This window comes from Homo sapiens, chromosome 8, assembly GCF_000001405.40.
Source record: "Homo sapiens chromosome 8, GRCh38.p14 Primary Assembly".
Taxonomy (NCBI): domain Eukaryota; kingdom Metazoa; phylum Chordata; class Mammalia; order Primates; family Hominidae; genus Homo; species Homo sapiens.
Window position 1 is genome coordinate 103,276,202 of NC_000008.11, and position 21,532 is coordinate 103,297,733.

Consider the following 21,532-nt stretch of genomic DNA (forward strand, 5'->3'; position numbering starts at 1 on the left):
GCCCAGACTGAGAGAGAGAGACAGAGCCCCTGTCTTCTTAGCTGCAAACACTTGGAGTAGAACTTTTGTAACACAGAGCTGGAGGCAGAGGTGAGAGTAATGTAGCTGGTTGCAGCTCAAATGCCACAAGCTGCCACTGTTCTTAACAAAATTTAGTAGACTTTCTTGAATGAATGTTTCTTCATTGTCATATTCCCTCCAGATACTTTGAATGATTTTTTAAAAATAGTTTTCATCAGTTAAATAACTGTTTTGCTGGTGAGAAGCTCCATGTAACTCCTGAGCTATCATTTTGGAAGTCCCACCTCATCCTTTTTTACTATTTCTGTCCCTGATCAACAGTTGGTGGGAAGAGCATGAATAAGCAGGAAGTCAGCAATCAAATGTCTCCTTTGTGGAAAGTTCTCTTAAGCAGTTAGATTCACAGAAACTATAGATTCTATAGAAACTCATAGATACTATAGATTTCTATATTGTATATTATGGATTTATCATTAGAAATAATAGGAGAATTTACATTCTGGGATCTTCCCATCCTCTGTATCTTCAACCCCTTTAACCATTAATGAGTAGTATTAACTTTGAATATGTTAAGTATAGTAGGTGTAAGTTGTAATTTTTTTGAGGCCAAAATCAGCTGATTAATCATGGAATTAATCTAATTGATTATTTTAGTATCCCTAATAAATCTGATTTTAGGTTTGTCAATAAAAATTTAGGGTAAGATTAAAGATCAAGGGAAGATCCGTAACTTCTAAATTTAAAAAAATATTTTTATGTAAGTAATAAATGTTCACCACAGAAAAAAGAGTTATAGCTCTGCTTCTCAAAGTATTTTGATTGTTTAGGCTTTCATTCTAGCTAATATTCACTCCAGCTTTGGTCTAGATAATAGTCACTCTACATTTGGTTAAATCTTAACACTTTTCATTTTCTTTCAACCATAATTTACTGGTTAAGATCTTAGACTCAGAGTTGGAGTCTAGTTAGAAACAATCTAGGTATTTCAAATTGAGGAGTTAATAGGAAAAATAGTTACAAGTGCTGGAAGGGCTGAAGGAGTAAAAATGAGACTATGAGATAACTGAGAAATTAGCAACTGCAGGAATCTGCTACCACCCTAAGGCTGGAGCAAAAGAAAGGAAGAAATTGCTGTTACCAGTCCCGTCAGGCATTCATCTCTATTACTGCTGAGGCTTGCTATTGCTGCCAGAACCACTGACACATCACTGGGGTCTGCAGCTGCCACCACTGCTACACACTGCTTACCAGCAGCTATAGCCCACAGCCAGTGATGCTAAAATTGCCAAAGGACACCGGAGTCTGTAGCCATCAGAGGTTGTTAGAGGAAGAACAGTGGTTTCTCCCACCTCCCATCAGTGCTTTCCATTGGCACTGAGAGTTTATTGAAAGAAAATGTTGTTTACAGGGTCTAGAATTCAGGATTCTCATAAGCACCTCCTGATATGAAGCAGAATTTTCTGCTGTGATGGAAATGTTCTATGATCTGTGTTGTCTGATACAATAGCCCCTAATTACATGGGGACTATTGAGCACTTGAAATGTGTATGAGATGACTAGGAACAAAATTTTAAATTAGTTTAATTTAAAAAGCCACATGTGGCTAGTAGTTTCCATACTGGCCAGCATAGATTTAGCATCTACGATGCAAAGCAGATAATAGAAGTGTGAGATTGGAGCTAGGAGTAGGCAGGCATAACGCTCAGATCATAATGCTCAGACAGACGTGGTTCCCACCCTGGCTCTGTCACTCACAAGCTGCGTAGCCTTGGGCAAGTTCCTCAATCTCTGCGAGCCATCTGGAAAAGTGACAATAATAATAATACCTCTTAGGATTAAAGAGTTATTGGAACAACTAAACAAGATGATGCAACCATTCTGCAAAAACCTGACTCATGGTAAGTGCCCAATAAATGTTCATTATAATTATCACTTAAAAGAAATATTTTCAAAACTTTGATCATGGGGAACAGAGTAAGATGCAGAAAGCCTATGGAGAGATGGTAGTCCAATTTGTCTCCTAATGTTTCTTTTAGCTATAATTTTGTGAATGTATTTGCTAAATATTTTCTTTCTCCCTTTTTTCTATGTTATTGTCTTTTTGTCTAGCTGGTAATTTCAATGTCTTCTTATTCTTCTTATATTATGGATCACTTTTCCTTGACTTAATTGTCATACATTGTGGAAATTTCATACTATTATGGAAGACTGACTTAATTATCATATGTTATGGAAGTTCATGATTATGTCAAAATAATGTTTGTTGGACCTGACACCATGATATAAGCTTTCTTGCTCTTTGCTCTTTTGTTCCCAGGGGTGATTTTTCTGACACCACTCTGACATGCTAAGACTTTAACCAGAACACACTGCACTGTTTATGTTGACTTTTCCTTATCATATGCTTAAAGACAAAAAAGAGTTATAAATATTTACAAGTGTTTTATAATAGTTCTAATACATTTCAGAGGCTTAATTTATTAAGAAATGTCATATTTTGTGCCAAACCTAGCCATCTCTCTCATAATCTCTTTTGCTCTTTCAGTGGTTTAAGAGAATAGATGAGCATCTAGAGATATATCTCTTAGACAAATAATGTTGATACAGCCTATATATTGTCAGCTGCTTAAAGAACAATATTCCAATTGAAATGACAGGAATCTCACAAGACAGAACCACTCTTGCAACTGTGTTAAAGGAGCACCTTTGTTTAAGTCAGAAACGGTGCTAATGAGACACACCTGGGAGTGAAATGATTTTCTCATAGGGGCAAAAAACAACAATAAAAAAAATAATTTCATTGCTCAACTACGTCTTAGACATAGTATTTTTCTTAGATAACTTACAGCGAGACTTTGGAAAAAGAAGAATAAACATAAAACAATGCTGAGTCCTAAATGGAACCAAACCCAACAATAACAAGATGAGCTGCATGCAGCTACAGTGGGCTGCTATTCATAATATGTGATGGCACATCAGGCCTTTCACCAAAGTCAGGCAATGCTGTGTATTGCACTGAATGTTTCCTGTGGATCCTCTATTAACACTAGTGGGAGCTCTTTACATTAAAAAAGTCATAAGTCCCACAACTGTTCTGCAATCCTCTCCTCATATTAAATCTACTCATCATGTCTGGGGGAGTTATCTTTAAGGAAATCATTTGCCAAGACTCAGATTTTTAAAAAACATTCTAAGGCACTAGAATATGGAAGTGAATAATTTGCTCCAATCTTCCTTTCCACCTCTGAACAAAATGTAGCCAGTGAAAGGAAATTAGCCCCTGGTCATTAGTGCTTTTCAAAACAGACTATCTAGTTGCCTGCCCTTTCAGTTACAGCTACTGTGACGCCCCATATTCTGTTTAACACCATATATAACTCCTGGCATAATGCCTGGACAAAGAGGGCAATTTCTCTCCAACTTTGACTTTCCAGATAGTCATACTTGATCACCAAAGCCAGGGTGGCCTGGCACATTCTTAGGTAGCCAAGATGCTCAAAATTATGGGATTATTTCATCTAGAAGGGCTGTGAATTTCCATTTTCATGCACTTTCTACACTCCAACACTCCTACATAATTCTATTTCTGATAAAGGAAGTAAAGGAACAATCTGGAGGAAGCAATTGCTGGGCTATCAGGTACCCTGGGGACCACAAAACTGGTCCCCTTCCTTACACACTGAGGTGAAGACTCCAAGAGCTGGAGTGAATTGACCTGTTTTCTTCTGATTCTTTCCAGGGCACCGTGCTACTCATAACAAAAATGCATTGAATAAAATGCACAGCTTCCACTTAGTGGAGAGTGGGAGTGCAAGGACACACTAAGTGTCAGGCACCAAGCTAAGGGTTTTATATACCTTCTTTCTTATAATTCTCATGCCAAAGCTTGGAATTCTTCTTCTTATTTTGCAGATTTATACACTGAGGTTTGAGGGTTTAAATAACAGAGTTAGTAAATGACTGAGCCAGGATTCAAATACAGATATGTCTGACTGCAAAGGCCATTTTCTCAAACCACTATGCTATACTCTAGTGTATATGCAGAATAATACTCATTCTAAAGAAGGAAGCATTGTTGGTTGGGCACAGTGGCTCAAGCCTTTAATTCCAGCACTCTGGCAGGCTGAGGTAGGTGGATCACCTGAGGTCAGGAGTTCAAGACCAGCCAGGTCAACATGGCGAAACCCCATCTCTACTGAAAATACGAAAATTGGCCAGACACAGTGGCTCATGCCTGAAATCCCAGCACTTTGGGAGGCTGAAGGGGGTGGATCACCTGAGGTCAGGAGTTCGAGACCAGTCTGGCCAACATGGCAAAACTCCATCTCTACTAAAAATTAAAAAACTAGCCAGGTGTGGAGGCGGGCGCCTGTAGTCCCAGCTACTCGGGAGGCTGAGGCAGGAGAATGGATTGAACCTGAGAAGTGGAGGTTGTAGTGAGCCAAGATCACGCCACTGCACTCCAGCCCTAGGCAACAGAGAGAGATTCTGTCTAAAAAACAAAAAAGGAAGCACTGTCAAGACATGAAGAATAATTTGAGATCACAACAGGAGATGGTGAGATCACAGAAAACATATCCAGAATATTATTATCCCTTAATAATAATGATTAATAGCTACCATTAACTGAGTGTCCAGTATAGGCCTGGCACTTTATATTTGTTATTTTATTTAACTATCACAATCTCCCTGTGAGGTAGGGATAATCATACCCATTTTTTAGGTGAGGAAACTGAGAATTAGAGAAATTAAATAACTTTCCCCAGTCTCACACAGTTGGCAGATAGTAAAATGAGGCTTAAATCCAAATCTAAGTGACTTGAAACCCCACACCTCACTTACCTTAAGATGCATTCCTGACCCATGGAAACTGCTTAATATATATTGAGCACATGAATAAATAAAGGACCATGAATAAACAGTGGCTGGAATGGAGCATGTATCTGTTATGTAATGCCCATGTTGGCCTTGATTAGAAGCTCTTAAAAACAAATGAGTAACAAATACATGTTTTGTTTTGCTCCAAAAGGTATAACTGGGACAGATCAGTGGAAATTGCAGACTTCCTGTGGCTTCCTGTACAGGAACCTGGCTTCAAAGAGTCCATTGCCTGAATGACCTTCAATTCTGTGATTCAGAGATTCTGTGAGAGTCTGTGTCTCTACAGAGGGATAATAAGGGAAAACATTCCCACAGTGAGAGCTGCCTAGTAAAACAGTGAGCTACCCATTTTGGAAGATGTTCCAGGTACATGACTACATGCCAGAAATGCTGAATAAGAAATTATTAAATTGTGTGGTGTAGAAGGTTGTTTGGAAAATGGCTGCAGTTATTCCCTTTCCTTTATTCATTCTCCTTTGCAAGATGACTCTTAAGCTCCTCCCATTGAGAGATGGTATTTCCCCAACCCTTGAATCTGTGTTGGCCTTGTGACTGGCTTTGCCCAAAAGAATGCAGCAGAAGACATTTCATGCCAATTCTAAGTCTAGGCTTCAAAAGGCCTTGCATAGTTTCAATCTCCTTTTTGAAACCCTGAGGCTGCCAAGTGAACAAACTGTAGCTAGACTAGCCTGCTGGAGGATTAGAGGCTACATGGAAGAGAATAGAAATGTCCCAGTGAATAGTTAGCTAACCTCTAGAAGCAGAACCACCTAGCTGCCTTGTAGCTCACCACATATTCATGGGCAAGCTCAGTGGAGACCAGAAGAACCAACTAGTTGACCCATAAACTCAAGGGCAATAAGAAATGGTTGCTGCATGATTCTCATAAGCACCTCCTGACATGAAGGGAAGATAAAAGGAATGCCTGATGTCCCTGTCAGAATAGTTCATGCCACTATCATCTGCCTGTATGTCAGAAGGCCTCCAGGGGCTTTCCTTAATGGACATAGCAACATCCAACATTAATTGGGCATCTTACTACTTGCCAGGAAATAGTCTTAGTGTTTTGCATAAATTAATTCTTAAGCCTCACAACGAGCAGCGAAAAATTGATTATTGTTATGAAACTGATTTCACAGATATAGAAACCATGTCAGAGAACTTAAGGAACTTACCTAAGGTACAGAGTTAGTAAATGCCCAGCCCAGTATTGGAACCCAGAAAGTCTAAAGCCACAGTTCTTGCTATTAGCCACACCACATTGCCTCCTGCTAGTCGTCCTAAGGGGAAGGTTGTGTGCAGGAACTATACTTGCACTCACAAAACCTAGTAGTTGTATTTCCTGATTATTTTCACCAGGCTTTCTTTGCAGAGTCTGGGATGTCACCAAATATCTTGTTCATGTTCCACGCTTCTCCCACCTGAAAGTCATTTTCTTACTGCCTGTTTCTGAGTAATCTCACTATTAAGCTTGAAACCTAGAATCTATGATCAGGAGAAATGTTTTAAAAGACTCATTACCAAAAACACAGGAGCAAGTAGAAGAAACACTCCTTTTCCAAAAGAGAATTAGTTCTCCAGTATGAGAGTTTCCATTCTATTCACAGTTGGAAATGCGTGTAAATCAGGTTTAAGAAACATATGAGATGGGCTTATGCGAAGGCCTTAAGTAGGGAATCAAATGCTAAATGAAATGTTAAAAGCAGGTTTAATAATCATGCCTGACATCCAAGATGGGTCAGTTTTTTTTTCTCCTAGATATAGTTTCCCTGAAGCTCAAGATAATTACAAAATGTCTTAAATCCCTGTTTTTCTTATTGAATACAATGGACTGCCAACATTTCAACTACAGTTAAACCAGCCCAACAGGAAAAAAGCCAAGGAATGTGTCTATTCCAACATTTTCTGCAAAGTCTGGTAGTATATAGCTCTCTGTTTTGAGAAATCTTAAATGGAAATTCCATTTACAAAACTGGATGAAACATGACCAACCTATATATACTTTTCTAGAAATTTCTTCTGCCTTATCTAATTTCCCCATTAGAGGAGGCAGTATCACTTACTTCCCTGCCATTGTGGGTTTTTTCCCAGATACCTCTTGGGGCCCTGGTGCAGTTCTCCCCACCCCTAACGCACACACACAGAGTACAGCTTAGTAATTGTTGACTTAATTAATGTGGGGCAGTGGGAAGCCCCTAGGACCCCCATACCCACCCCCCGCCCACTGCTAGGGATTTGACCACTGCCTCTAGGCAGAGTAGTGTCAGTGCCTGTGTGTCTGCACAGACCTTGCTTTTATTTCACCCACTATGTAACTGATGTTTTAGGAAACTCTGGTAATTTCAACTCCCTCTTGCCCATGGCTTTTTAAGGCCCAGATAGGAGCCCCCAACCCCTTCCACCCTTTAAATTAACCACCAGACTCTTGAAAGCAAGATGTCAGTCTCGTTCTGGGAAGTTTTCATGGAATCCTTCCTGCCCCCTCCTCCCCTCCCCTCTCCTCTCCTTTCCTTTTCAACTGTATTTTTTTTAGAAGCTTTAGGTTCACAGCAAAACTGAGCAGAAAATACAGCGATTTCCCATATCGCCCCCTGCCCTCACACATGCACAGCCTCCCCGACTATGAGCATCCCCCACCAGATGGTATATTTGTTATGATCCACGCACCTACGTGGACACATCATTATCACCCAAAGTCTGTAGTTTGTGTTAGAGTTCACTCTTGACGTTTTATATTCTGTGGGTTTTGACACATGCACAATGACGTGCATCTGCCATGATAGTATCATACAGAGTAGTTTCACTGCCCCCAAATCCTTTATGCTCTGCTTATTTATTCTTCTCTCCCTCCTAACCCCTGGCAACCACCAATCTTTTTTTTTTTGTTTTGTTTTTTTGAGACAGAGTTTTGCTCTTGTTGCCCAGGCTGGAGTGCAATGGCGCAATCTTGGCTCACCGCAACCTCTGCCTCCCGGGTTCACGCGATTCTCCTGCCTCAGCCTCCTGAGTAGCTGGGATCACAGGCATGTGCCACCACAGCCGGCTAATTTTGTATTTTTAGTAGAGACAGGGTTTCTCCATGTTTGTCAGGCTGGTCTCAAACTCCTGACCTCAGCCTCAGGTGATCCACCTGCCTTGGCCTCCCAAAGTGCTGGGATTACAGGCGTTAGCCACCACACCTGGCCCAAACTTTTTACTGTCTACATAGTTTTGCCTATGCAGTTTTCCCATATTTTCAAAATGTCACATAGTTGCAATCATACTGTAGTATTTTGACTTTTCAGATTAGCTTATTTCACTTAGTAATATGCATTTAAGTTTCCTTCATGTCTTTTCATGGCTTGATAGCCCATCTTTCTAGTGCTGAATAGGATTCCATTTTCTGGATGTACCACAGTTTATCCATTCACTTACTGAAGGACAACTTGGTTACCTCCAAGTTTTGACAATTATAAACATAGCTGCTATAAACATCCATGTACAGGTTTTAGTGTCAACATACATTTTCTACACCTTTGGGTAAATACTAAGGAGTGTAACTGCTGGATCATATGGAGAGAGTATGTCTAGTTTTATATGAAACAACCAAATGGTCTTCCAAAGTGACTATACGATTTTGCATCCCCACAAGGAAAGATTGAGAGTTCCTGTTGCTGTACTTTCTTGTCAGCATTTGGTATTGTCACTGCTTTGGATTTTGACCATTTTAATAGCTGTGTATGGTATACCATTGTTGTTTTTACCTTTGTGTATTTATTTCATTTTTGCCTTTTGCTTTTGTGTATATACTATACTGTGAAATTTTCCTATTTTCCTCCAACGTGTTTTCATAAAATCATGCATGATTGATGTGAAAGAAAGGCAACAGTCTCCTTTCCACATCAGACTCCCACTTATTCCATGCAGCCATAAGGGACCCAAAGTTAATAGTTTCTTATACTGGCTTGGAAATAGGTATTCTATCTCCCTTCTCTATGTCTGTCCCTCCCATTATATTCCAGTCTCACCCAACTCAAGCCTAGACCTGCCAATTGTGTGTTTTTTTTTAACTTAAGAAAATTTTATGTAGGAAGACATACTGTAACTTTCAGTTTGTCTTATAACTATAGTAAGACCATAGAATGGCTTTTACAATCTCAGATGTCTCTAGTTGTTAAACGTCCCATATAATTCTCCTATTGTCATTTATGTTACAATGAATTTGTTAATCAAATTAAAGACAACATTTGTTCTATCCAGAGTTCTTACTAAGATAGAAATATTTTATAAATAAGATTCTTGTTTAAATCATCTCTCTCTCTTGAATATTATCTTTAAGATTATAATCCATTCAATTTGAGCAAAAGTATAATTATTTTAGTTACGGCCATGTTTTAAAATTAAAAATAAAAGTGATCATCCAAAATTACATTTAAAAAGAGTCAAGACTGACCCATGTTTTTATTGTGAATTAAGTTGTTCATTAGTAGAGTTACTTGGAGGCTGAATCCACATTGAGGATAACTCAATTCTACTTTCAGACATGGCAGTGTGGGGAAAAATCCAACCCAGGGAAAGAGGATAATGAAGAGGACCGTTTGATGAAAAGAAATTCTTCATCATTAATGGAAAAGGTGGAGGGCCAGGCCGAGCAACGAGAGAGAAGAGTTTCCTCTTCCCACAAATTCTTCCTTTGGCAGCAAGGAACTCTGGATTGGAGAAAGGAGTGGAGGGACAAAAGCTGGCAGGGCTTACCTGGTTTGAAGATCTCTGCAATAAAGATCTTCCATGTACATGGGCTGCTCAGGGTTCCATCTCCCCTCAAATAAATAAATGAATAAATAAATAAATACATAGTTTTAAGTTTTGTCAAATTTATGCATACAAAAGTTAACTAGTAATACAAGGTTTATTATTCAAAAAATATATGTCAGCAACCTCCTATTCCACCATTTTCCCTTTCAAAGGAGAAATCAATTAAACTCTTCTAGATGTTATTAACTGCCTCAAAACTCATCTGAAATACCCAACTTCCCTGGTCTCCACTATATTATTTTCCTCCATTCAAGAAGAGTGAATTTTGATTGTGAGGTTCTTAAACTTATACAATTTTGAGACCTTTTTAAAGAAAAAGAATGTAAGATTCCAAAATATCAAATTAGATAGAGCCTTGGAAAGGTCCCTGATGCTTAAGCTTCATTATTCATAGTACATCTGCTTCTGCCTTCAAGTGAGAACATACAAGATCCTTTGTATTAAATTATCCCATTGCTGCCTCTAAACCATCTCCCCATCCACATACCATGTCGAGATCACCAAATCTCTCAATAATTTGACATTCAAGTAGCTCCCCAAAGCCCACCTCCTCTATAAAATCCGTTCTATTGAATTGAAATATAGTCATATTTCTTTAATTTCACTTTCTCTAAAAATTTAACTCCATGTTTTCCTTCACTTATCAACCTATGATACTACTTATCCCATTGTGCTTATTTTTTGTATTTCTTTTTCCCTAGCTTTATTAAGGTAGAATTGGCAAATAAAAATTGTGTATATTCAAGACATACAATGTGATAATTTGATATACATAAACATTGTGAAATGATTACCACAATCAAGTTAATTAACACATTCATCACCTTACATAGTTACCATTTTGTGGTATGTGTATGTGTGTGTGTGTGTGTGTGTGTGTGTGTGTGGTGAGACACTTAAGATCTACTTTCTTAGCAAATTTCAAGTATATAATACAGTACACAACTATAGTCACCATGCTATATATTAGATCCCCAGAACTTATTCATCTTATTTTTATTTATTTTATTGAGATGGAGTCTCGTTCTGTCACCCAGGATGGAGTGCAGTGGTGCAATCTAGGCTCACTGCAACCTCTGCCTCCCAGGTTCAAGTGATTCTCCTGCCTCAGCCTCCCGAGTAGCTGGGACTACAGATGCCTGCCATCACGCCCAGCTAATTGTTTGTATTTTTAGTAGAGACAGGGTTTCACTGTGTTAGCCAGTATGGCCTCGATCTCCTGACCTCGTGATCCACCCACCTCAGCCTCCCAAAGTGCTGGGATTACAGGTGTGAGCCACCGCGCCCAACCCAGAACTTACTCATCTTACAACTGAAATTTTTTCTCCTTTGACCAACATCTTCCCATTTCCCCCATCCCCCTAGCGACCACCTTTCTACTTGCTGCTTCTGTGATTTTGACTTTTTTAGATTCCACATATAAGTGAGATCTTACAGTATTTGTCTTTCTGTGTCTGGCTTATTTTACTTGGTATTACGTCCTCCAGGTTCATCTCTGTTGTTGCAAATGGCAGGATTTCCTTCTTTTATGGCTGAATTATATTTCATTGTATACTTACATCATGTTTTCTTTATCCATTCATCTACCAACAAATGCTTAAGTAGTTTCTATATCTTGGCTATTGTGAATAATGCTATAATGAACATGGACGTGCATATATCCTTTCAACATACTGACTTCAGTTCTTTTGGATATATAACCATAAGCATGATTGCTGGATTATATGGTAGTTCCATTTTTAATTTTTTGAGGAACCTCCATACTGTTTTCCATATAGCATACAGGTAAACCTAGGAGATATTTCAGGTTTGGTTCCAGACCACCACAATAAAGTAAATTTTGCAATAAAGCAAGTCACATAATTATTTGGTTTCCCAGTGCATATAAAACTTTTGTTTACAATATACTGTAGCCTATCAAGTGTGTGATAGCATTACATCTAGAAAACAATGTAAAATACCTTATTGCTAAAAAATGCTAACAATCATCTGAGCCTTTAATGAGTCATGATCTTTTTGCTGGTGGAGGGTCTTGCCTTGATGTTGATGGCTGCTGACTGATGGTTGGTGAAGGCTGCAGTAGCTGTAGCAATTTCTTAAAATAAGACAACAATGAACTGTACCTTATTGATTGACTCTTCCTTGCACAAAAGATTTCTCTGAAGCATGTGATGCTGTTTGATACCATTTTACCCACAGAACTTCCTTCAAAATTGGAGTCAATCCTCTTCAGCTGTGTTGCTGCTTTAACTAAGTTACATAATATTCTAAATCCTTTGCTATCATTTCAACAATATTCACAGTTTCATCAGGAGTAGATTCCACCTCAAGAAACGACTTTCTTTGCTCATCTATAAAAAGCAACTCTTTATCCATTAAAGTTTGATCATGAGATGGCAGCAATTCAGTCACACCTTCAGGCTCCACTTCTAATTCTAGTTCTCTTGCAATTTCTACCACAGCTGCAGTTTCTTCTTCCACTTCAATCTTGAACACCTCAAAGGTCATCCATGAGGGTTGCAATCAACTTTTTCCAAACTCTCATTTATGGTGGGTTTTTTTTTTTTTTTTTTGAGACAGGGTTTCACTCTGTTGCCCAGGCTGGAGTGCAGTGGCACAATCTCGGCTCACTGCAGCCTCAACTTCCCAGGCCCAAGTCATCCTCCTGCCTCAGCCACCCAAGTAGCTGGGACTACAAGCACACACCACCATGCTTGGCTTTTTTGTACTTTTAGTAGAGATGGGGTTTTGCCATGTTGCCCAGGCTGGTCTTGAATTCCTGGGCTCAAGCAATCTGACCACCTCAGCTTCCCAAAGTGCAGGATTACAGGCATGAGCCACTGCGCCCAGCCTCTGTGTTGATATTTTGACCTCCCATGAATTATGAATGTTCTTCATAGCATCTAGAATGGTGAATCCTTTCCAGAAGGTTTCAATTTATTTTGCCTAGATCTATCAGATGAATCATCCTCTCTGGCAGCCATAGCCTTATGAAATTTGTTTCTTAAATAATAAGACTTGAAAGTCAGAATTACTCCTTGATCCATAGGCTGCAGAATAGATGTTGTGCTAGCAGGCATGAAAACATTAATCTCCTTGTATATTTCCATCAGAGCTCTTGAGTGACCAGATATATTCTCAATGAGCACTAATATTTTGAAATAAATCTTTTTTTCTGAGCAATAGGTCTCAAGAGTGGGCTTAAAATATTCAGTAAGCCATGCTGTAAACAGATGTGCTGTCATCCAGACCTTGTTGTTCCATTTATTGAGCACAGGCAGAGTAGATTTAGCATAATTCTTAAGGGAATTGGAGTTTTTGGAATGGTAAATAAGAATTGGCTTCAACTTAAAGTCACCAGCTGCATTAGCCTTTAACGAGAGTTATTCTACCCTTAAAAGCTTTGAAGCAGGTATTGACATCTTCTCTCTAGCTACGAGTCTTAGATGGCATCTTCTTCCAACATAAGGCTGTTTAGTCTCCATTGAAAATCTGTTATTTAATGTAGCCACCTTCTTCAATGATCTTAGATATTCTGGATAATTTACTGCAGTTTCTCCATTAGAACTTGCTGCTTCACCTTCCACTTTTATATTATGGAGACGGCTTCTTTCCTTAAACCTCATGAACCAACCTCTGCTAGCTCTGCAGCTTCCTCACCTCTCTCAGCCTTCATAGAATTGAAGTGAGTTAGAACCTTGTTCTGGATTAGGCTTTTGCTTAAGGGAATGTTATGGCTGGTTTGATCTTCTATCCAGACCATTCAAACTCTGTCCATATCAGCAATAGGGCTGTTTTGCTTTCTTATCATTTTTGTGTTCACTAGAGTAGCAATTTTAATTTCCCTCAAGAACTTTTCCTTTGCATCACAACTTTGCTAACTGTTTGGCACAAGAGACCTACCTCTCCGCCTGTCTCAGCTTTCAACGTGCCTTCTTCACTAAGCTTAATCATTTCCAGCTTTTGACTCAAAGTGAGAGATATGTGATTCTTCCTGTCACTTGAACATTTAGAGGTCACTGTAGGATTATTAATTGGCCTAATTTCAATATTGTTGTGTCTCTGGGAGCAGGGAGGCCCAAGGAGAGGGAGAGAGATGGGGAAAACAGTCAGTCAGTGGAGCAGTCAGAACATACTTAACATTTTTCTGATAAGTTTGCCATCTTCTATGGGCATGGTTTGCAATGCTCCCAAATAATTAAATAGTAACATCAAAGATCACTGGTCACAGATCACCATAACAGATATAATAAAAATGTAAAAGTTTGAAATATTGTAAGAATTAAAAAAATGTGACATAGAGACATGAAGTGAGCACAGATCACTGGGAAAATGGCACCAATGACTTGCTCCATGCAGGATTTCCAGAAATCTTCCGTTTGTAAAAAGCACAGTATCTATGAAGCACAATAAAGCAAAATGCAATGAAATGAGGTGTTCCTCCACTAATTTACATTCCCACCAGTAGTGTGCCAAGTTTCCCTCTTGTCCATATCTTGCCAATATTTATCTCATCATGTTGATAATAGCCATCCTAAGAGGTGTAAGATGTATCTCATTGTGGTTTTGATTTGCATTTCCCTGATGATTAGTGATGTCGAGCATCTTCTCATATACTTATTAGCTATTTGAATGTTTTATTTGGTAAAACATCTACGCAGGTCCTTTGCCTATTTTTTAGTTATTTGTTCTTTGGTTGGTTTTGTTTTGTTTTTTGTTTGTTTGTTTTGTATTTTTTGCAATTAAGTTGTATGGGTTTCTTATATATTTTAGATATTAACTTCTTATCAGATACGTAGTTTGCAAATACTTTCTCCCAGTCCATAGGATTGCCTTCCCATTCTGTTGATTGTTTCCTTTGCTGTGCAGAAGCTTTTTAGTTCGATGTAGTTCTACTTATGTAAGTTCGCTTTTGTTGTCTGTGCTTTTGATGTCATATCGAAAAAAATTATTGCCAAGACCAATGTCAAGGAGCTTTTCCCTTATGTTTTCTTCTAGGAGTTTTACAGTGTTGGCTCTTATATTTAAGTCTTTAATCCATTTCAAGTTAATTTTTTCACATTGTATAAGAAAAGGGCCCAATTTCATTTTTTGGCATGTGGATGTCTAGTTTTTTCAACATCATTTATTGAAGAAACTATCTTTTCCCCTTTGTACATTCTTGGTGCCCTTGTCAAAGATTAGCTGATTTTATATATATATATATTATATATATAATGTATATATATATAATATATATATGTATATATATTATATACATGTTATATATATTATATATTATGTATATTATATATAATATATACATAATGTATATAATATATATATATTATATATATAGGCTTATTTCTGAGCTCTCTCTACTGTTCCATTGGTCTGTTTTTATACCAGCATCATACTGGTTTGATTACTGTAGCTTTGTAATACAGTTTGAAATCAGACAGTGTGATGCCTCTAGTTTTGTTCCTCTCTCTCAAGATTGCTTTGGCTAGCCAGGGTCTTCTGTGGTTCCATATGACTTCTAGGATTATTTTTTCTATTTCTGTGAAAAATGTCACTGAAATTTTGATATAAATTGCATTAAATCTATGAATTGCTTTGAGTACTATGGACATCTTAACAATATTAGTTATTCTAATCCATTTGTTTTTAATGTAATTTTAAAAATCAGAGTTATTACCTAGGAATCCAACTTACAAGGGACGTGAAGGACCTCTTCAAGGAGAACTGAAAACCACTGCTCAACGAAATACAAAGAGGATACAAACAAATGGAAGAACATTCCATGCTCATGGGTAGGAAGAATCAATATCATGAAAATGGCCATACTGCCCAAGGTAATTTATAGATTCAATGCCATCCCCATCAAGCTACCAATGACTTTCTTCACAGAATTGGAAAAAACTACTTTAAAGTTCATATGGAACCAAAAAGAGCCCACATCGCCAAGTCAATCCTAACTCAAAAGAACAAAGCTGGAGGCATCACGCTACCTGACTTCAAACTATACTACAAGGCTACAGTAACCAAAACAGCATGGTACTGATACCAAAACAGAGATATAGATCAATGGAACAGAACAGAGCCCTCAGAAATAATGCCGCATATCTACAACTATCTGATCTTTGACAAACCTGAGAAAAACAAGCAATGGGGAAAGGATTCCCTATTTAATAAATGGTGCTGGGAAAACTGGCTAGCCATATGTAGAAAGCTGCAACTGGATCCCTTCCTGACACCTTATACAAAAATTAATTCAAGATGGATTAAAGACTTAAACGTTAGACCTAAAACCATAAAAACCCTAGAAGAAAACCTAGGCATTACCATTCAGGACATAGGCATGGGCAAGGACTTCATATCTAAAACACCAAAAGCAATGGCAACAAAAGCCAAAATTGACAAATGGGATCTAATTAAACTAAAGAGCTTCTGCACAGCAAAAGAAACTACCATCAGAGTGAACAGGCAACCTACAAAATGGAAGAAAATTTTCACAACCTACTCATCTGACAAGGGGCTAATATCCAGAATCTACAATGAACTCAAACAAATTTACAAGAAAAAAACAAACAACCCCATCAAAAAGTGGGCAAAGGATATGAACACACACTTCTCAAAAGAAGACATTTATGCAGCCAAAACACACATGAAAAAATGCTCACCATCACTGGCCATCAGAGAAATGCAAATCAAAACCACAATGAGATACCATCTCACACCAGTTAGAATGGCAACCATAAAAAGTCAGGAAACAACAGGTGCTGGAGAGGATGTGGAGAAATAGGAACACTTTTACACTGTTGGTGGGACTGTAAAGTAGTTCAACCCTTGTGGAAGTCAGTGTGGTGATTCCTCAGGGATCTAGAACTAGAAATACCATTTGACCCAGCCATCCCATTACTGGGTATATACCCAAAGGATTATAAATCATGCTGCTATAAAGACACATGCACACGTATGTTTATTGCGGCACTATTCACAATAGCAAAGACTTGGAACCAACCCAAATGTCCAACAATGATAGACTGGATTAAGAAAATGTGGCACATATACACCATGGAATACTATGCAGCCATAAAAAATGATGAGTTCATGTCCTTTGTAGGGACATGGATGAAATTGGAAATCATCATTCTCAGTAAACTATCACAAGAACAAAAAACCAAACACTGCATATTCTCACTCATAGGTGGGAATTGAACAATGAGAACACATGGACACAGGAAGGGGAACATCACACTCTGGGGACTGTTGTGGGGTGGGGGGAGGGGGGAGGGATAGCTTTAGGAGATATACCTAATGCTAAATGACGAGTTAATGGGTGCAGCACACCAGCATGACACATGTATACATATGTAACTAACCTGCACATTGTGCACATGTACCCTAAAACTTAAAGTATCAAAAAAAAAAAAATCAGAGTTATTAGCAGCCCATGAACCACAATTGGTATAAAGTTACTTCTGCACATCAAAGAAAATTAATTTAGCTATTGTCTAAATTACTAAATTGGGGCAAAAAGCCCTTTTCTAGATGCTACAAGCTTTATAAAGGGAAAATACTATTTCTAATATTCGACTTAACATGGCTGCTTTGGTTAAAAAAAGGATAACATATTAAATATTTAAAATGACCAGATGGTAGGTTTGAATCCACTGAAAACAAACCCAGCAGGGCAAACTCACAGGCACAAAATGTAACTCAAAGCATTAATAGAGCTGAGGCTGTTTTTCTTTAGCATTATGAATCTCTTATTTGCAATGACTATACCAGAGCTCCAAAGAGGCAGTCTTATACATCAAACTGTCATTAAAATATGTGGCTCTTTCCTGCAGTGTCATGTTACTACTGCACTGAAAATTTTATTTTTCCAGTAACACTGGAGGTAGTAATTAGAAGGTCTATTATTTCTGGCCAACCATAATGGATACAACCATAATGGACACAACCCAAAGGTTAATTGCTGTGCTACAAACACTGCAGCAATTAGCTTTCAGAGTAGGGAGTGACAGGGAATGTATTTCAAGTGAAAGTTAGTTTTTAAATAGAAACTATCCTCTACGTCATGCGCATAAACTTCCCTAAATTAAGTCAGTGCATGATCAAATTCACAATGTTACATGGAGGGAGTGAAGCCATGATAGAGCTTTCAAGGGTTAGGGAAAGAAGTATTAGGGAGAGAACTTCATGAGGGAAGGGGTTCATACCACTGGAAGTTCTAACTGCTTCCTCCCAAGTTCCTCTTTGCTTCTGTACTCTTCTATGCCTCTGCTCAGCCCAGCCTCCTCCAGCTGGGGTCCCTCTACTGCTGTTTGTTCCTCAAACTGCTAATGTCTCAGCATCAGGTCAGTGGCCACAAGCCGGCCTATCCCCCAGTATGTGTACAGGGCCCAGGCAGGAGTACAAAGGAGGACACCATGCTATATGTCTACATAGCTAAAATTCATATATCAAACTAACAAACTGCTACTTGAAATATGTTCTATCCTCCTACCTTGAAAAAATGTACCTTTATAAAGACAGAAATGTTTTTAATGTGTAAAGCTATGTTTTAATGAGTAGGCAAAATATCAAAAGTAGATAAATTCAATTATTATGGCACGTGTTTGCATAGTCCGGTGATAGGCTGGAGATGTTTGGGTAAGTAATTAAATAAAAACTTACACAGTTTACAAGTTACATATTTACCCCTGTGAAATTTACTTTCTTCCCTTCATTTTAGCAAAATCCCTTAATTATATTGTCATAATAAAAATTTTCATATAGTCAGTCTTCTATGAATACTAATGCCAAATTACATAACTTTTCTGAATTATTGCAGCTCTTGGGATTTTTCAACTCGATTTTAACTTGGAGAAACTTTGCTCTGCTAAGGCAGTAGCAACTGGAATTATCAATAAAATTCTTAAAGTCATACCTATTTTTAAAAATGAGAAATTAAGGTTTGTAGTGTGGCATGTAAGGAGCTTAGCTGTTACTCTGTCCTGACAAAAAGTAGAAAGTTGAACAAACTGAAAATCAACAACTCTTCCTAGATCTAGCAGAGAAGTAAGGACACAGAGCAAGCCACTGCCCCCAAAGTTGGAGAGACAAACAGGCAGATACACAGAATCACAATTTACTAGAGCAGAAACCCGCCGGCAGAAACCTCCAGGGGCATGAGTACAGGGTAGGAAGACCAGAACTGTAACTGATGAATTGCTAGAGGCTCAGGGTGGTCAAGACTAAGAATTTAAAACTCCAGGGGGTCAGCTGGGCACGGTGGCTCACGCCTGTAATCCCAGCACTTTGGGAGGCCTAGGCAGGGAGATCACGAGGTCAGGAGACAGAGACCATCCTGGCCAATACGGTGAAACCCCGTCTCTACTAAAAATACAAAAATTAGCTGGGCATGGTGGTGTGCACCTATAATCCCAGCTACTCGGGAGGGTGAGGTGGGAGAACCATTTGAACCCAGGAGGCGGAGGTTGCAGTGAGCCAAGATCACGCCACTGCACTCCAGCCTGGCAACAGAGTGAGACACACACACACACAAACACACACACACACACACACACACACACACACACAAAGGGGGAGGGGGCCTAGTCTTTGGAGGGCACACTCACACTTTTGTAAGTTTTACCTCCAGGAGTTCTTCCAGGTTCTCTCAGTGAAAATCAAAGAAAAATCACCTCCTACATCCAACAGGGAGAGGTGAAAAGAACCATTTTGAAATATGTCAAAATATTCTGTTCTTTTTAACAAGGCCTGCCCTCAAGAGAAACTACCAGAGCCTAACCTATTACAGTTTTAGCAGAGCCTAACCAAGCTGATAGATGGGAAATATCCAACCCCAGCCCCCTCTAGACATCCTGTCCCACCCAAGAAGGGGGATAAAAACTAAGAAGCACTTGTGAAGTTTCCAGCCTAGGGACACAAGCTCACTAAGACTGAAATCTAATCATAGGTCTATAGAATGTTTCCCCTCCTCCCACATCTTAACACCGCATCACTGAAGCCCATTTACTCCAGTGCCTTTCACCCAGTGCATCATGTCCAGCTTTCAACTAAAAATTACAAGGCACACTACAGAGCAAAAAACACAGTTTGAAGAGGCAAAGCAATCATCAGAACTAGACTCACATACGGCAGAGATGTTGGAATTATCAGACCAGGAACTTCAAATAACTGTGATTAATATACTAAGGGTTGTAAAGGTAAACGTAGACAACTTGAAAGAACAGACGGTTAATGTAAGCAGAAATGAAAATTTTAAGGAAGAATAAGAATTGCTAGAGATATAAAATTCTATAACAGAAATGAAGCATGCCTTTGATGGATTCATTAATAGACTGGACATGGTTGAGAAAAGAATCTCTGAGTTTGAGGATATGTCAATGGAAACTTCCAAAATTGAAAAATAAAGAGAAAAAGGACTTAAAAAAAAGAAACAATATCCAAGAACTGTGAAACAACTACAAAAGTATAACATATGTGTAACAGGAATACCAGGAGAAGAATTAGAGAAAGGAACAGAAGAAATATTTGAAGCAATAGTGACTGAAAATTTCCCCAAATTAATGTCAGTCACCAACAATGTTAGACCAACTCTCTAAAATCTCTTCCAGAAGATAGAAGCAGGGGGAATACTTCCTAGCAGCATTGCCCTAATACCAAAACCAGACAAAAACATTACTAGCAAAGAAAACTATAAACCAATATATCTCTTGAACAAAGATGTAAAAATCCTCAACAAAATATTAGCTAGTAGAATCCAGCAATGCATAAAAAGAATTGTACAGCATAACCAAGATTTATCCCAGGTATGCAAGGCTGGTCCAATATTTGAAAATTCATTCATGTAATCTACCATACCAATAGACTAAAGAAGAAAAATCACATGACCACATCAATAGATGCAGAAAATGCATTTGACAAAATCCAGCACATTTTCATCATAAAAACTTTCAGCAAACTAGGGACAGAGGGGGAACTTTCTCACTTGCTAAAGAACATCTACAAAAACCCTAAGGTAACAATATACTTAATGATGAGGAGCTTACCTATAGAGGAACAAAAATAAAGAATGACATCCAACTTCTCAGAAACCACGTAGACAAGAAGAGAGGTGGAGTAAAAGTGTTCAGAGAAAAAAACTACCAACCTATAATTCTGTACCTTGCAAAATTAGCCTTTAAAAGTAAAAGTCTGTTTCTTCTACTTTTGGTCACCACTGTCCCCTAGCATCAGCCCAGAGGAACAATGCAAAGAGAAAGAGAAGGAAAATGAGGAAAACCGTCAGATAGTTCCATATTTACAGATGAAGAAACTAAAGAGGATCTGAATAATTTGCTCAAGTTCACACAGCAAGTAAATGCTGGAGCTAGGTTTTGAACCCAGGGATTTTGAACTCCAAAGTTTGTGTTCTTAATCTCGTACCATTGGGATGAAATTGTACAGTGAAAGACAAGCGATGATATAGATGATTGCCTAAGTATTCCAAATCCATCCTGACAAAAAAAAAATCATTCTAGTTCATCACTGCTCACTATATAATTAAATACAATGAAAAATAAAACAGGCTTTATTTACTTCTGTATAAATCAACTTACTACAATTTTTCCTTCCAAATAATGGAACAAGTATTCACTTGAATTTCAAAACTATCGTTTTCAAATGATACTTTAAAAGTATCGTTTTCAAACGATATTTTAAAAAGTATCGTTTTTAAATGATACTTTTAGTGATACTTCACTGCCTGGTAGTCACTAGAGCCTGATCACAAAAAGATCTCATTAAGTTCGTAGAAACTGGAGAGAAATAGTCTTCCAATGTAGAAAATTAGAAATTTAGG

The 21,532-nt window shown here is 38.3% G+C and overlaps 1 long non-coding RNA gene across 4 annotated transcripts in view, besides 1 other annotated feature; it reads right to left on the minus strand.

The window, feature by feature from the left end:
* The window catches only part of LOC105369147 (uncharacterized), a 55,281-nt gene that overhangs the window by 32,664 nt on the left and 1,085 nt on the right, over positions 1 to 21,532 (minus strand). The window contains exons 2-3 of one of the 4 annotated variants that reach the window (NR_148213.1): positions 9,637 to 9,701; positions 1,777 to 1,820 (exon numbers count right to left, since the gene is read on the minus strand). The exons of 1 other annotated variant lie outside the window; for it this stretch is intronic. This is a non-coding gene — a long non-coding RNA (uncharacterized LOC105369147). The remainder of the gene's footprint in view (positions 1 to 1,776; positions 1,821 to 9,636; positions 9,702 to 21,532) is intronic. 2 more of the 4 variants (NR_148214.1, NR_148215.1) reach the window with 2 other exon arrangements.
* Positions 4,086 to 5,285: an enhancer, noted in NCBI's record as "CDK7 strongly-dependent group 2 enhancer chr8:104292515-104293714 (GRCh37/hg19 assembly coordinates)". NCBI's record gives its function as "activates an origin of replication core promoter dependent on BRD2, BRD4, P300/CBP, MED14 and CDK7 cofactors, with strong dependence on CDK7, by STARR-seq in HCT116 cells {active_cell/tissue: HCT116}" and the evidence as "EXISTENCE:reporter gene assay evidence [ECO:0000049][PMID:35650434]".